Below are 13,407 nucleotides of genomic sequence, written 5' to 3' on the forward strand. Positions count from 1 at the left end.
GCGCCGGTTTCCAATACTTAACAATACATCAGAATCAACTGGAAAGCTTTAAAAAGTTATAGATTCCTGGCCGGGCGCGGTGGCTCACGCTTATAATCCCAGCACTTTGGGAGGCCGAGGTGGGTGGATCACGAGGTCAGGAGATAGAGACCATCCTGGCTAACACGGTGAAACCCCGTCTCTACTAAAAATACAAAAAAAAAAAAAATTAGCTTGGCGTGGTGGCGGGTGCCTGTAGTCCCAGCTAATCGGGAGGCTGAGGCAGGAGAATGGCGGGAACCCAGGAGGCGGAGCTTGCAGTGAGCCGAGATACACTCAAGCCTGGGCAATAGAGTGAGACTCCATCTCAAAAAAAAAAAAAAAAAAAGTTATAGATTCCTAGGCCAGGCGTCATGGCTCACACCTGTAATCCCAGCACTTTCAGAGGCCGAGGCAGGCGCATCACGAGGTCAGGAGGTCGAGACGAGCCTGACCAACATGGTGAAACCCCATCTCTACTAAAAATACAAAAATTAGCCGGGCGTGGTGGCTGTAATCCCAACTACTCAGGAGGCTGAGGCAAGAGAATCGCTTGAACCCGGGAGGCGGAGGTAGCAGTAAGCTGAGATCGCGCCATTGCACTCCAGCCTCGGCGACAGAGCAAGACTCCGGCTCAAAAAAATAAAATAAACAATAAGTTAAATAAATAAATAAATAAATAAATAAAGAGTTATAGATTCCTAAACCCCACATTAGATTTCTGAATTGATCTTTGTGGATGGAACCCAGAAATTCTCCAGGTGATCTTGACGCAACCTGAATTTGAGAACCACTGCCTCTTGATATCCATCCCTTACCCCAGCTTCAAATTCTCCAGAGAGTCTGATTAGGCCACTTGTGGTTGAGTAAACCATGACTGGAGGGGTAGTCTTCTGGGCGGCACAAGGAAGTAGTTTTCCAGGGCCTCTGCTGCTCAATCTGGAGCCTTTGTACAAATTAGGAAAAAGTGCCCCTCAGGGCCAAAGTATAAAAAGGCACCCCTCTGGGTAGACAACCTGCTTTACTGGTAGGCTTGGCACTTTTAGAGGGTGTGTAGCGGTTGCTTCTTCCCTGGACTTTAGCTCTTATCTGCCCTCTGGCAAGTAATACCATGTTGTGTATTTTCTTTTCTGTCTTACTGCATTAGCTACATCTTTCAAAAACATGTTGAAAAGCAGTGATAAGAGGGTCATCCTTGCCTTATTATTGATCTTAGCAGGAAAACTTCAAGTTTTTTGCCATTAAATATGAGTTAGGCTTGGTGGCTTATGCCTTTAATCTCCGCACTTAGAGGGGCTGAGGTGAGCAGATCACTTCAGACCAGACTGGCCAACATGGTGAAAATCCATCCCTACTGAAAATAGAAACATTAGCCAGGTACAGTGGCGCATGCCTATAGTCCCAGCTACTCAGGAGGCTGAGGTGGGAGAATCACTTGAGCCTGGGAGGCAGAGGTTGCAGTGAGCTAAGATCGTGCCACTACACTACAGCCAGGGCAACAGATACCCTGTCTTAGGGAAAACAAAAACAACAATGAATAAACCTCTCAAAACCTTTTTAAAAAGCATAAATTAGCTGTAGATTTTTTATAGATGTTTATCAAATTGAGAAAGATCCCCTCTATTCCTAGTTTGCTGAGAGTTTTTTTCATGAATGGGTGTTGCTTTTTGTCAAATACTTTTTCTGCATCTGTTGATACAATCATGGGATTTTTCTTCTTTAGCTTATCGATATTGATGTGATACATTAAAAGTATTGATTTTTGGCCAGGCACGGTGGCTCACGCCTATAATCCCAGCACTTTGGGAGGCTGAGGTAGGAGGATCTCTTGAGCCCAGGAGTTCGAGACCAGCCTGGGCAACATAGGAAGACCTCGTCTCTACAAAAAAATTAAAAAATTAGCCAGGCATTGGCCAGGCACGGTGACTCACACCTGTAATCCCAGCACTTTGGGAGGCCGAGGCAGGTGGATCATGAAGTCAGGAGTTCGAGACCATCCTGACCAACATGGTGAAACCCTGTCTCTACTAAAAATACAAAAATTAGCCGGGTGTGGTGCTGGGCACCTGTAATCCTAGCTACTTGGGAGGCTGCGGCAGAAAATTGCTTGAATCTTTTCTGGGCGCGGTGGCTCACGCCTGTAATCCCAGCACTTTGGAAGGCCGAGGCGGGCGGATCATGAGGTCAGGAAATCGAGACCATCCTCGCTCACACAGTGAAACCTCATCTCTACTAAAAATACAAAAAATTAGCCCGGTATGGTGGCGGGCGCCTGTAGTCCCAGCTACTCGGGAGGCTGAGGCAGGAGAACGGCGTGAACCCAGGAGGCGGAGCTTGCAGTGAGCCAAGATTGCGCCACTGCACTCCAGCCTGGGCGACAGAGTGAGACTCTGTCTCAAAAAGAAAAAAAAAACAGAAAACAGAAAAAGAAAATCGCTTGAACCCGGGAGGCAGAGGTTGCAGTGAGCCAAGATCACACCACTGCACTCCAGCCTGGGCGACAGAGTGAGACTCCATCTCAAAAAAAAAAAAATTAGCCAGGCATGATGGTGCATACCTGTAGTCCAAGCTACTCCTGGAGGCTGAGGTGGGATGATGGCTTGAGCCTGGGAGGTCAAGGCTACGGTGAGCTGTGATTGCACCACTGCACTCCAGCCTCAGTGACAGAGCAAGACCCTATCTCCAAAAAAAATAAAATCCTCAAGCGATTGCAAATTTTCATGCTCTGACATTAGATTATTATTTTTGTTTTCTTTCAATCTTTTATATTGTAAAATAGAACACATTCAGGAAATGTATAAAACATAAATGTATCATTGACAATTAATTATGGCCGGGAGCAGTGGCTCACGCCTATAACCCCGCACTTTAGGTGGCCGAGGCAGGTGGATTGCTTGAGCTCAGGAGTTTGAGATCAGCCTGGGCAACATGGTAAAAGCCCATCTCTACAAAAAATACAAAAACTAGCCAGGCTTGGTGGCACACACCTGTAGTCCCGGCTACTCGGGCTGAGGTGGGAGGATCCCTTGAGCCCAGGATGCAGAGGTTGCAGTGACCCAGGATTGCCACAGAGTGAGACCCTGTCTCAAAACAAACAAACAATGACAAAACAATTAATTATAAAGCAGGTACTCACGGCTGGGCTTGGTGGCTCAAGCCTGGCCAGGACACCTGTCCAGGTGTCCACCATATGGGGAACTTCCCATACTACAGTAGGACATCATGGGGTCACCTTGTAGGGGACATGCTGTAAAACTGGAAGATTTTCACGTTGACCCTTCCCCTTGTGGGTTTCTTCCTAATAATTCATTGCCTGGAATAGTTTAGGTTCACCCTTCCCTGTTAGTGGAAGAATGAAAAAGGTGACCATGTCCACCTCTTTAATAACCTTCTGTCACCTGGGCTGGAGTACAGTGGCTTCATCACTGCACTTCAGCCTCAACCTCCTGGGCTCAAGCAGTTGTCCCACATCAGCACCGCCAAGTAGCTGAGACCACAGGCATGTGCCACCACATCCAGCTAATTTTTTAATTTTGTAGAGATGAGGTCTCCCTGTGTTGCCCAGACTGATCTCAATTTCCTGGGCTCAAGTGATCCTCCCACCTCAGCCTCCCAAAGTGTCAGGATTACAGGCATGAGTCACCACATCTGGCCTCCTTTTCATTTTTATATTACAAAAGAGAACCAAATAATTAATTGTTTAGAACAGATTTTTTTTTTTTTTTTTTGAGACAGTCTCACTCTGTCGGCCAGGCTGGAGTGCAGTGGCACCATCTTGGCTCACTGCAAGTTCCGCCTCCCAGGTTCACGCCATTCTCCTGCCTCAGCTTCTCAAGTAGCTGGGGCTATAGGTGCCCACCACCACGCCCAGCTAATTTTTTGTATTTTTAGTAGAGACAGGGTTTCACCGAGTTAGCCAGGATTGTCTCTGTCTCCTGACCTCGTGATCCGCCCACCTCGGCCTCCCAAAGTGCTGGGATTACAGGCATGAGCCACTGCGCCCGGCCTAGAACAGAAATGTTAACATAAGTTTAGTTTGGTCGGATGCAGTGGCTCACGCCTATAATCCCAGCACTTTGGGAGGCCAAGGCAGGTGGATCACTTGAGGTCAGGAGTTCAAGACCAGCCTGGGCAACATGGTTAAATCTCATCTCTACCAAAAAATACAAAAATTAGCCAGGCATGGTCAGACCTACTTGGGAGGCTGAAGCAAGAGAATCGCTTGAACCTGGGAGGCAGAGGTTGCAGTGAGCCAAGATCACACCAGTGCACTCCAGCTTGGGTGACAGAGTGAGACCCTGTCTCAATAAATAAATAAAATAAATAAATAAATAAATAAGCTTAGTTTGTCAATGGTCAGGCATTGCCAGGGTCTATGTGAGCACTTACATGTGAATGGTTGGTGGGAACATTTTGCTGAGGCCAAGGTCATAGTTAAGTCCACTGTGCAGATGGTTAGACTAAACTCTAAATCCATAGATAGTATAAATAATATAAAACCGAAGAGGCTGGGTGTAGTGGCTCACGCCTGTAATCCCAACACTTTGGGAGACTGAGGTGGGCAGATCACCTGAGGTCAGGAGTTGGAGACCAGCTTGGCCAACACAGTGAAACCCCGTCTCTACTAAAAATACAAAAATTAGCCAGGTGTGGTGGTGGGCGCCTGTAATCCCAGCTACTCGAGAGGCTGAGGCAGGAGAATCACTTGAACCTGGGTGGTGGAGGTTGCAGTGAGCTAAGATCACGCCACTGCAGGCCAGCCTGGGCAACGGAGCACGACTTCATCTTTCAAAAAAAAAAACAAGAAAAAAACTCTGAAAAGTTACTGCACTATGAAGTAGTAATGGCACAGAGGATTAAAAACTGAGGGTAGGTAGGGCACGGTGGCTCACGTTTGTAATCCCAGCATTTTGGGAGGCTGAGGCGGGCGGATAACAAGGTCAGGAGTTCGAGACCATCCTGACCAACATGGTGAAACTCCATTTCTACTAAAAATACAAAAGATAGCCAGGCATGGTGGCACACTATTTGGGTGGCTGAGGCAGGAGAATCACTTGAACTCGGGAGGCGGAGGTTGCAGTGAGCCGAGATTGCACCACTGCACTCCAGCCTGGTGACGGAGTGAGATTCCATCTCAAAAGGAAAAAAAACTGAGGGTAATTTAAAAGCCCTTTATTGGCTGGGTGTGGTGGCTCATGCCTGTAATCCCAGCACTTTGGGAAGCCAGGGTGGATGGATCACTTGAGGTCAGGAGACCAGCCCAGCCAATATGGTGAAACCCTGTCTCTACTAAAAATAGAAAAATTAGCCGGACGTGGTGGCATGCACCTGTAATCCCAGCTACTCAGGAGGCTGAGGCAGGAGAATCCATTGAACTTGGGAGACGGAGGTTGCAGTGAGTCGAGATCGTGCCACTGCACTCCAGCCTGGGCGACAGAGAGAGACTCCGTCTCAAAAAAAATAAATAAATAAAAGCCCTTTATCTTTTTACTTAAAATGTATTATAGAGGCTGGGCATGGTGGTGCATGCATACAATCCCAGCTACTTGGGAGACTTGGGTGGAAGGATCACTTGAGCCCAGGAGTTTGAGACCAGCCTTGGTAACATAATGAGACCCTATGGCAAAAAAATAATAATAATAAAATACGTTATGAGATAACATAAGTTTTTTTTAAGAACTAAAAGGAACTTAGTTCTTAAACATTATCCATTTCATCTTCCCCATTTATAGAAAAGAAACACACAACAATTTAAACATTGGATTAATTTTTCTAATTATATTTTGCTCAGGCTAATATTAAATTGATTTTCATTTCTCAATTGCATGCCACCTGATGTTGACACAACACAAACTAGAGATATACCAGATGGTAGTGATGAAATATACTTTATATCATCTACACAGCAAAACAATGAGTGGTGACAAAAAATTTGGGGTTGGCCCTTGGTCCCTGACCAGGTGCTTGGAGTCTGTGCAGACCCCACATAGGAGCTGATAGTCAGGATCATAATCCTAGCAGGCAGGATATAAGGTTACTGGGGGTAGAAATTCCCAGCTGCAGCTTTTTCATCTGAGCACCACAAACACAGCAGCCCCGGGAGCAAGAAAATAGCCTGGTATCAACTCAGCATCCCCGCTGAATGGCATCAGGAAAATTCAGTGTGCCTGCAGATTGTTAAAGGATGTACTTTGCAGTTCCCCTGAAGTGATAAGAAAATACAATTATTAAATTTTTGGTTTGTTTATAATCTAACCTGAAGGTACCAGGGAGGCATGAAGAGGCTTGGTTGGTATTTAAAATAATCTGTTAAAGCTTTAGAAATGAAATTAATGTTTTCATCTTTGTCATGTTTCACAGGCTCAGAAAAAATGTCTGAATCAGACTTCCCCCATTTCTGCTCCCAAGACCACAGACGGCCTGAGGCAAGCACAGATCCCTGGGCTCTTGAGCACCACACTGCCAGGTCAGGAGCTTCCTCAGTTTGTCCCTGTCCTCCCAACACCACGGGATGCTCTTCTCACTTTTCTCCCTCATTCTGCACGAAAGCTTTCTGGCTTAATCTCGTCTCCACTCCGATTATTCCTTTCTTTCTGTATCCTTTCCGCAAATAATATACTGTGTTGCATCAACTCTAAGATAGCATTGGGCCGGGCACGGTGGCTCACGCCTGTAATGCCAGCACTTTGGGAGGCCAAGGAGAGTGGATCACCTGAGATCAGGAGTTCAAGACCAGCCCGACCAACATGATGAAACCCCATCTCTACTAAAAATACAAAAATTAGCCAGGCATGGTGGCACACGCCCGTAATCCCAGCTACTCAGGAGGCTGAGGCAGGAGAATCGCTTGAACCCGGGAGGCAGAGCTTGCAGTGAGCTGAGATCACACCACTGCATTCCAGTCTGGGTGACAGGGCGAGACTCTGTCTCAAAAAAAAAAAAAAAAAACCCCACTAAGATAGCATCAATTGTAAGATGTACTATCATTTTTTATACTACCAAAAAGAAAAACAAGCACTTCTATCTAAATTATGACACATTAAATTATGTGGAAAAAAAATACTTCTTAGAAACAATAAATTGAGGCCGGGCACGGTGGCTCACACCTGTAATCCCAGCACTTTGGGAGGCCGAGGCGGGCAGATCATGAGGTCAGGAGATCAAGACCAGCCTGGCCAACATGGTGAAACCCTGTCTGTACTAGCTGGGCATTGTCCTAGCTACCCAGGAGGCTGAGGCAGGAGGATCACCTGAGCCTGGGAGGTCGAGGCTGCAGTGAGCTATGATTGCGCCACTGCACTCCAGCCTGGGCGACAGAACAAGACCTTGTCTCAAAAAAAAAAAAAAAAAAGAAAAGGTATTTTACAGTACTTGTGACTTTGAAATTATCCCCATGTTGCTCTCTACATGCATGTTTGGAATTCTCCACCCAGACTGAAAATATTATGGACTATGTCTTCCGTTTTTTCTAAGGCTTTGAACATCTGCAGTACCCAATTAGTACTTAAAAAAAAAAAGGCAAGAAAGAGAAAAAGCTTGAATATTCCCAGTCAATTGCCTCTTTGGGCCTCCCTTTCCTTAAATTGTATTTTGGGATTCTGTAGTGCTGACAGATTACTGGCTTGAGGCCTGTTTTTCAGACTATAAATAATTTGAAACTATAGCATTTGGAGCTTCTATTTATTACTATTTACTTATTTATTACTTAAATAGGCTTTAATAACCTCTTCCTTTAGAGCTTGTAAGTAAATGCACTACCCTGCCCTCCTTCTTCACAGCAAGCAGCCATGATAAAGAAACCCGTTTCAGAATGCTCAACAGTCTGTACCCATTGGGTTCTAGGGTTATATGATGGACCCAATTTACTGTTTCTTTTGAACACTGTCTCATGTATTAATTCTAATAGGGCAGGATTCTGGAAGCAAAGTTATATCCGCATCCTTAGGAACCGCACAACCACAGCAGGAAAAAGTAGTTGGATCATCTCCTGGCCATCCAGCTGTGCAGGTAGAAAACTATTGGCATAGCCTCTTCCTAATGTTCGGCATAATTGAATGAAAATGTAGTCGTGCTATCTTTGTGGTTGCTGGCTAGCTTTGTGTGCACAGTCCACCCAGTCCCCTGTGTGCCCACAACAGGGTGGTCATTGAAGACCTTCCTGGTGGGCTGGGCCTTGTTATGTTTATGTTTCTGAGATGAATGTCTATTCTATTTCTGACATGTTTACAGTGCTTCATTAATCCATCATTTCCTCATGAATTAGTAATATACCAGCAGCTAGTACATACTAGGCACTCAAAAAATGTCATTTACTACTAGGTGATATCGTTCACTATTATATCAAAGCGAATCTCTTCTTCTTAGTTATACTGAGGGATTTTTGTTTTTCTGTAGTAGTAACCAGGCGTATAGGAAGTAGGCCATCCCTACGGTCTTTTGACCCAACTTTGACACTTTTTAAAGTCCAACTTTTTGGTTTTTGTTTGAGACAGGGTCTCACTCTGTCACCCAGGCTGGCATGCAGTAGTGCAATCACAGCTTACTGCAGCCTTGACCTCCCAGGCTCAGGTGACCCTCCTGCCTCAGCCTTCTGGGTAGCTAGGACAATGCCCAGCTGTTTTTTTGTATTTTTTGTAGAGATAGGATTTTGCCATGTTGCTCACACCTGTCTCAAACTCCTGGGCCCAAGCCATCCACCCACCTCAGCCTCCCAAAGTACCTGGATTACAGGTGTGAGCCACTGTGCCCTGTCTAGTCCAGCTGGGTTTTTTGTTTTGTTTTTGTTTTTGTTTTTGTTTTGTTTTGAGTTGGGGTCTCACCCTGTCACTCAGACTGTGCTGCAGTGGTGTGATCACAGCTCACTGAAGCCTCGATCACCTGGGCTCATGCGATCCTCCCACCTCAGCTTCCTGAGTAGCTGGGACTACAGGCACGCACCACCACGCCTGGCTAATATTTTTATATTTTTTTTAAGAGAAAACGTTTTGCCATGTTGGCCAGGCTGGTCTGAAACTCCTGGGCTCAAGCAATTCTCCCACCTCAGCCTACCAAAGTGCTAGAATTACAGGCTTAAGCAACCACTCCTGGCCTAGTTTTTTTTGTTTGTTTGTTTTTTTGATACATGATAGATGTACATATTTTCAGGGCACATTTGATAACTTCAAGTTTGGCTTTTAAACCTAAAAGATTTCAAACTACTAGTCTAAAATGGAAGGAAACATTTCTTGTTTTCAGCTTACTAAGACAGTTTCGTTTCCATCAGACCTACCAATTAGTGGTTGAATGAAACTTGCTGCAGTGTGGGACTGCCTGGAATACACAGTGAAGGATCTGTTCAGTTCTAAGGTTCTGAGATAAGGCCTATTTGTTTCCTTAACATGATGTAAAAAATGCCTCGTTAGATCACACACCTGGACTATATATAACAGGAGCTTAAAAGTGTGTATCCCATACTTACACTGAGAAGATGGATTAGATAGTATCTACTGACTTTTCAGATGTCTGTGGAATTTCAAAAATATAACGATGGGTCAGTGCTGTGGCTCACACCTGTAATCCCAACACTTTGGGAGGCCAAGGCAGGCGGATGGCTTGAGTCCAGGAGTTCGAGACAAGCCTGGAAAATATGGCAAAACTCCGTCTCTACAAAAAATACCAAAAAATTAACAGGCGTGGTGGTGCATACCTGTAGTCCCAGCTACCTGGGAGGCTGAGGTGGGAGGATCACTTGAGCCTGGGAAGCAGAGGTTGCAGTGAGCCGAGATTGTACCACCACACTCCAGCCTGGACGACAGAGCACGACCCTGTCAAAAAACATGATGATGATGATGATGATGATGATGGTGCATTTAGAGAGGAGGTAGGCATTCAGGCTTTAAAGTGCAAACTGAGTCCCTCTCAGGAACCGATTATACACCTTTCTGTAATCTTAACACAGTACAACTTTGTTTCATGGACTCTGTGTACTGGTTTTTTTTTTTTTATTTTTCAGCAGGGCACATTCTGTAGTCTTAGAATATGTTCTTGATAGGTAGTTGAAAATATGTGAACTATAGTGACCTTTATGTATAACTGTATTCTTTTTTCTATAAAAGGGAATAATAAGAGGTTTGTTTTGTCTTTAGGTGGAGAGTCATTCGGGAGGACAAAAAAGGCCTGCTGCGAAACAGCTAACGAAAGGAGCTTTGTGAGTTACTCTCGGAAATGACAAATCAATTCTGAACACTTCTTTGGGTCCCTAGCCTTCAATAAATATACCACAGAAAACAGGTTATAATAATGAGTATATTAGCCTTTTTAAAAATGTACTTTGAGGCAAGGCATGGTGACTCACTCCTGTAATCTCAGCACTTTGGGAGTCTTAAGGCAGGAGGATCACTTGAGCCCAGGAGTTTGAGACCAGCCTGGGCAACATGGCTCTGCAAAAAATACAAAAATTAGCCAGGCGTGGTGGTACGGGCCTGTAGTCCCAGCTACTTGGGAGGCTGAGGTGGGAGGATAGCTTGAGTTCTGAGGTGGAGCTTGCAGTGAATTGGAGATTGCGCCACTGCACTCCAGCCTGGGTGACAGAGCAAGACCCTGTCTCAAAATATATACATATATACTTTGAAAATCTTTTTCTATACTTTCTTTTCCTTTTTTTTTTTTTTTTTTTTTTTTTTGAGACAGAGTCTTGCTCTGTCGTCCAGGCTGGAGTGCAGTGGGACGATCTCGGCTCACTACAGCCTCCGCCTTCTGGGCTCAAGTGATTCTCCCACCTCAGCCTCTGGAATAGCTGGGATTATAGGCACCCGCCATCACGCCTGGCTAATTTTTGTATTTTTGTAGAGACAGAGTTTCACCATGTTGGCCAGGCTGGTCTTGAACTCCTGACCTCAGGTGATCCACCCACCTCAGCCTCCCAAAGTGCTAGGATTACAGGTAGTGTATACATTTCAAATATATTGAATGTAGTTTCAGCCTACTGTTTGCTCTTTTCTTCTTAAGGAGAATAGTTCTTTGTCTTTTCAGAGACAAAGAATCTCTGAGGAAAAGCGTGGTTTGGTAAACTCCCATGTTTAGAACAGAAATGTTAGCATGAACTTAGTTGGCCAATGGTCAGGCACTGCCAAGGTTTATAGGGGTGCCAACACATAAATGATTGGTGGGAACCTGTGCTTTTGAGGTCAGGGTCATAGTTTGAGTCCTCTGTGGGGCTAGTTAAACTAAGTTATAAACCCACTATGGTATAAAAAATATAAAACTAAAAAACTGCCGTATTATTCCTATATATCTTATTTTATTTGCATGCAAATAAATATGACTAGATTTAATTTCCTAACATGACTTTACATTGACATTGACCATTTCCCTTGTAAAGCATTCTCCAGCAGTTGCAGAGGGACCAAGCCCACACTGTGACACCAGACAAAAGTCACTTCCGATCACTAAGTGATGCGGTACAGAGACTGCTCTCCTACCACGTGTGCCAGGGCTCCATGCCCACTGAAGAAGACTTGAGAAAAGGTAAGCAGGCTGGGACCCTAAGGCACCACTCTGATACCAGGAAACCCTCCATGGACACCCCCCAGAAAAGCAAGAGCCACATCACCCCCAGATGGTAGGCAGGTTATTGTTTTTAATCACAGACCAAACTTGTTCCCTGTTTACTCAATTTCCCAGTCCATGTTTAAGGTTGTGACTTACACTTCTCAGTATTTTTTGAAGGGAAGTCAAGAGTAGGGGCACACACCTGTAGTCCCAGCTACTCAGAAGGCTAAAGCAAGAAGATCATGTGAGCCCAGGAGTTTGAGACTATAGTGTGCTATGATCACGCCTGTAAATAGCCATTGCACTCCTGCCTGGGCAACATAGGGAGACACTGTCTCTTAAAAAAAAAAAAAAATATATATATATATATATATATTTTTTAGGAGGGTACCCTAATGTCAGAGTATTTTATTGACAAATTAGGGACAGTAAATCCAAAGCTTTGTATGGACTGCCGGCTCCAGATGGGATGGCTTTGCACTAGACACTCTACACAGTGGTTTTGCATAGTCCTTGCCTTTAGGCCATATGCATACCCTGAATTTTTTTTTTTTTTTTTTTTTTTTTGAGATGGAGTCTCGCTCTGTCACCCAGGTTGGAGTGCAGTGGCACGATCAACTCACTGCAACCTCTGCCTCCCAGGTTCAAGTGACTCTCCCTGCCTCAGCCTCCCCAGTGGCTGAGATTATAGGCGCCCACCACCACGGCTGGCTAATTTTTGTATTTTTTTAGTAGAGATGGGGTTTCACCATGTTGGCCAGGCTGGTCTTGAACTCCTGACCTCAGGTGATTGGCCCGCCTCAGCCTCCGGAAGTGCTGGGATTATAGGCATGAGCCACCACTCCTGGCCAAACTGTTTCTAATAGTTTTATGAATTAGGCACTTGAGCTCCCAAAAGCATTCCCTAAGATTCCAAAATGAGTCCAGAGCATTGGCCACACATCAAGAAACTGACAAAAATGTGAGAGATAAAGGCTGAGCACAGTGGCTCACGTCTGTAATCCCAGCACTTTGGGAGGCTGAGGCAGGCCGATCACCTGAGGTCAGGAGTTCAAGACCAGCCTGGCCAACATGGTGAAACCCCGTCTCTACTAAAAATACAAAAATTAGCTGGGCGTGGTGGCACACGCCTTCAGTCCCAGCTACTTGGGAGGCTGAGGCAGGAGAATCGTTTGAACCTGGAAGGCAGAGGTTGCAGTGAGCGGACATCGCACCACTGCACTCCAGCCTGGATAACAGAGCAAGACTCTGTTTTAAAAAAAAAAAAAAAAAAAAGGCTGGGCGCAGTGTCTCACACCTGTAATCCCAGCACTTTGGGAAGCTGAGGTGGGTGGGTCACCTGAGGTCAGGAGTTCGAGACCAGCCTGACCAACATGGAGAAACCCTGTGTCTACTAAAAATACAAAATTAGCCAGGCGTGGTGGCACATGCCTGTAATTCCAGCTACTCGGGAGGCTGAGGCAGGAGAATCACTTGAACCCGGGAGGCAGAGGTTCCCATGAGCCGAGATCGTGCCATTGCACTCCAGCCTGGGCAACAAGAGCGAAACTCCATCTAAAAAATAAATAAATAAATAAATAATAATTTAGAGATAAGAGCCCCTTCCCCAAACCTAGAACTCCTTCTGTCCTGATGCCTGGCCATGCTCTTTCCCACCACCACCGCTAAGGCCTGGCTGTATCAGTGCCCTCCTCTTTTCTAATCCCTTCCTCAGCTGCTACAAGTCTTACTCCTCCTGGCAGGGACCTCTAATCTCAGGGCACAGTGGTTTCTGTGAGTCCACTGTGGGCTTCCCTAGGACACCAAGGAATAGGGTCAAGATCCAGCGTTAAACAGGGGGTGTGAAAGGGCTGGGCATGG

General features: G+C 45.4%; 1 protein-coding gene across 10 annotated transcripts in view; it reads left to right on the forward strand.

Annotated features, from left to right (window-relative positions):
* The window catches only part of BICRAL (BICRA like chromatin remodeling complex associated protein), a 122,218-nt gene that overhangs the window by 99,375 nt on the left and 9,436 nt on the right, over window positions 1-13,407 (forward strand). For 9 of the 10 annotated variants that reach the window (XM_047418544.1, XM_047418547.1, XM_047418542.1 and 6 more), the window contains 4 exons: window positions 6,379-6,484; window positions 7,925-8,025; window positions 10,143-10,204; window positions 11,378-11,523. In XM_047418544.1, coding sequence (XP_047274500.1) covers window positions 6,379-6,484; window positions 7,925-8,025; window positions 10,143-10,204; window positions 11,378-11,523 — 415 coding nt within the window. The remainder of the gene's footprint in view (window positions 1-6,378; window positions 6,485-7,924; window positions 8,026-10,142; window positions 10,205-11,377; window positions 11,524-13,407) is intronic. The other variant, XR_007059228.1, reaches the window with a different exon arrangement.

This window comes from Homo sapiens, chromosome 6 (genome assembly GCF_000001405.40).
Source record: "Homo sapiens chromosome 6, GRCh38.p14 Primary Assembly".
NCBI classification, from domain to species: Eukaryota; Metazoa; Chordata; class Mammalia; order Primates; family Hominidae; genus Homo; species Homo sapiens.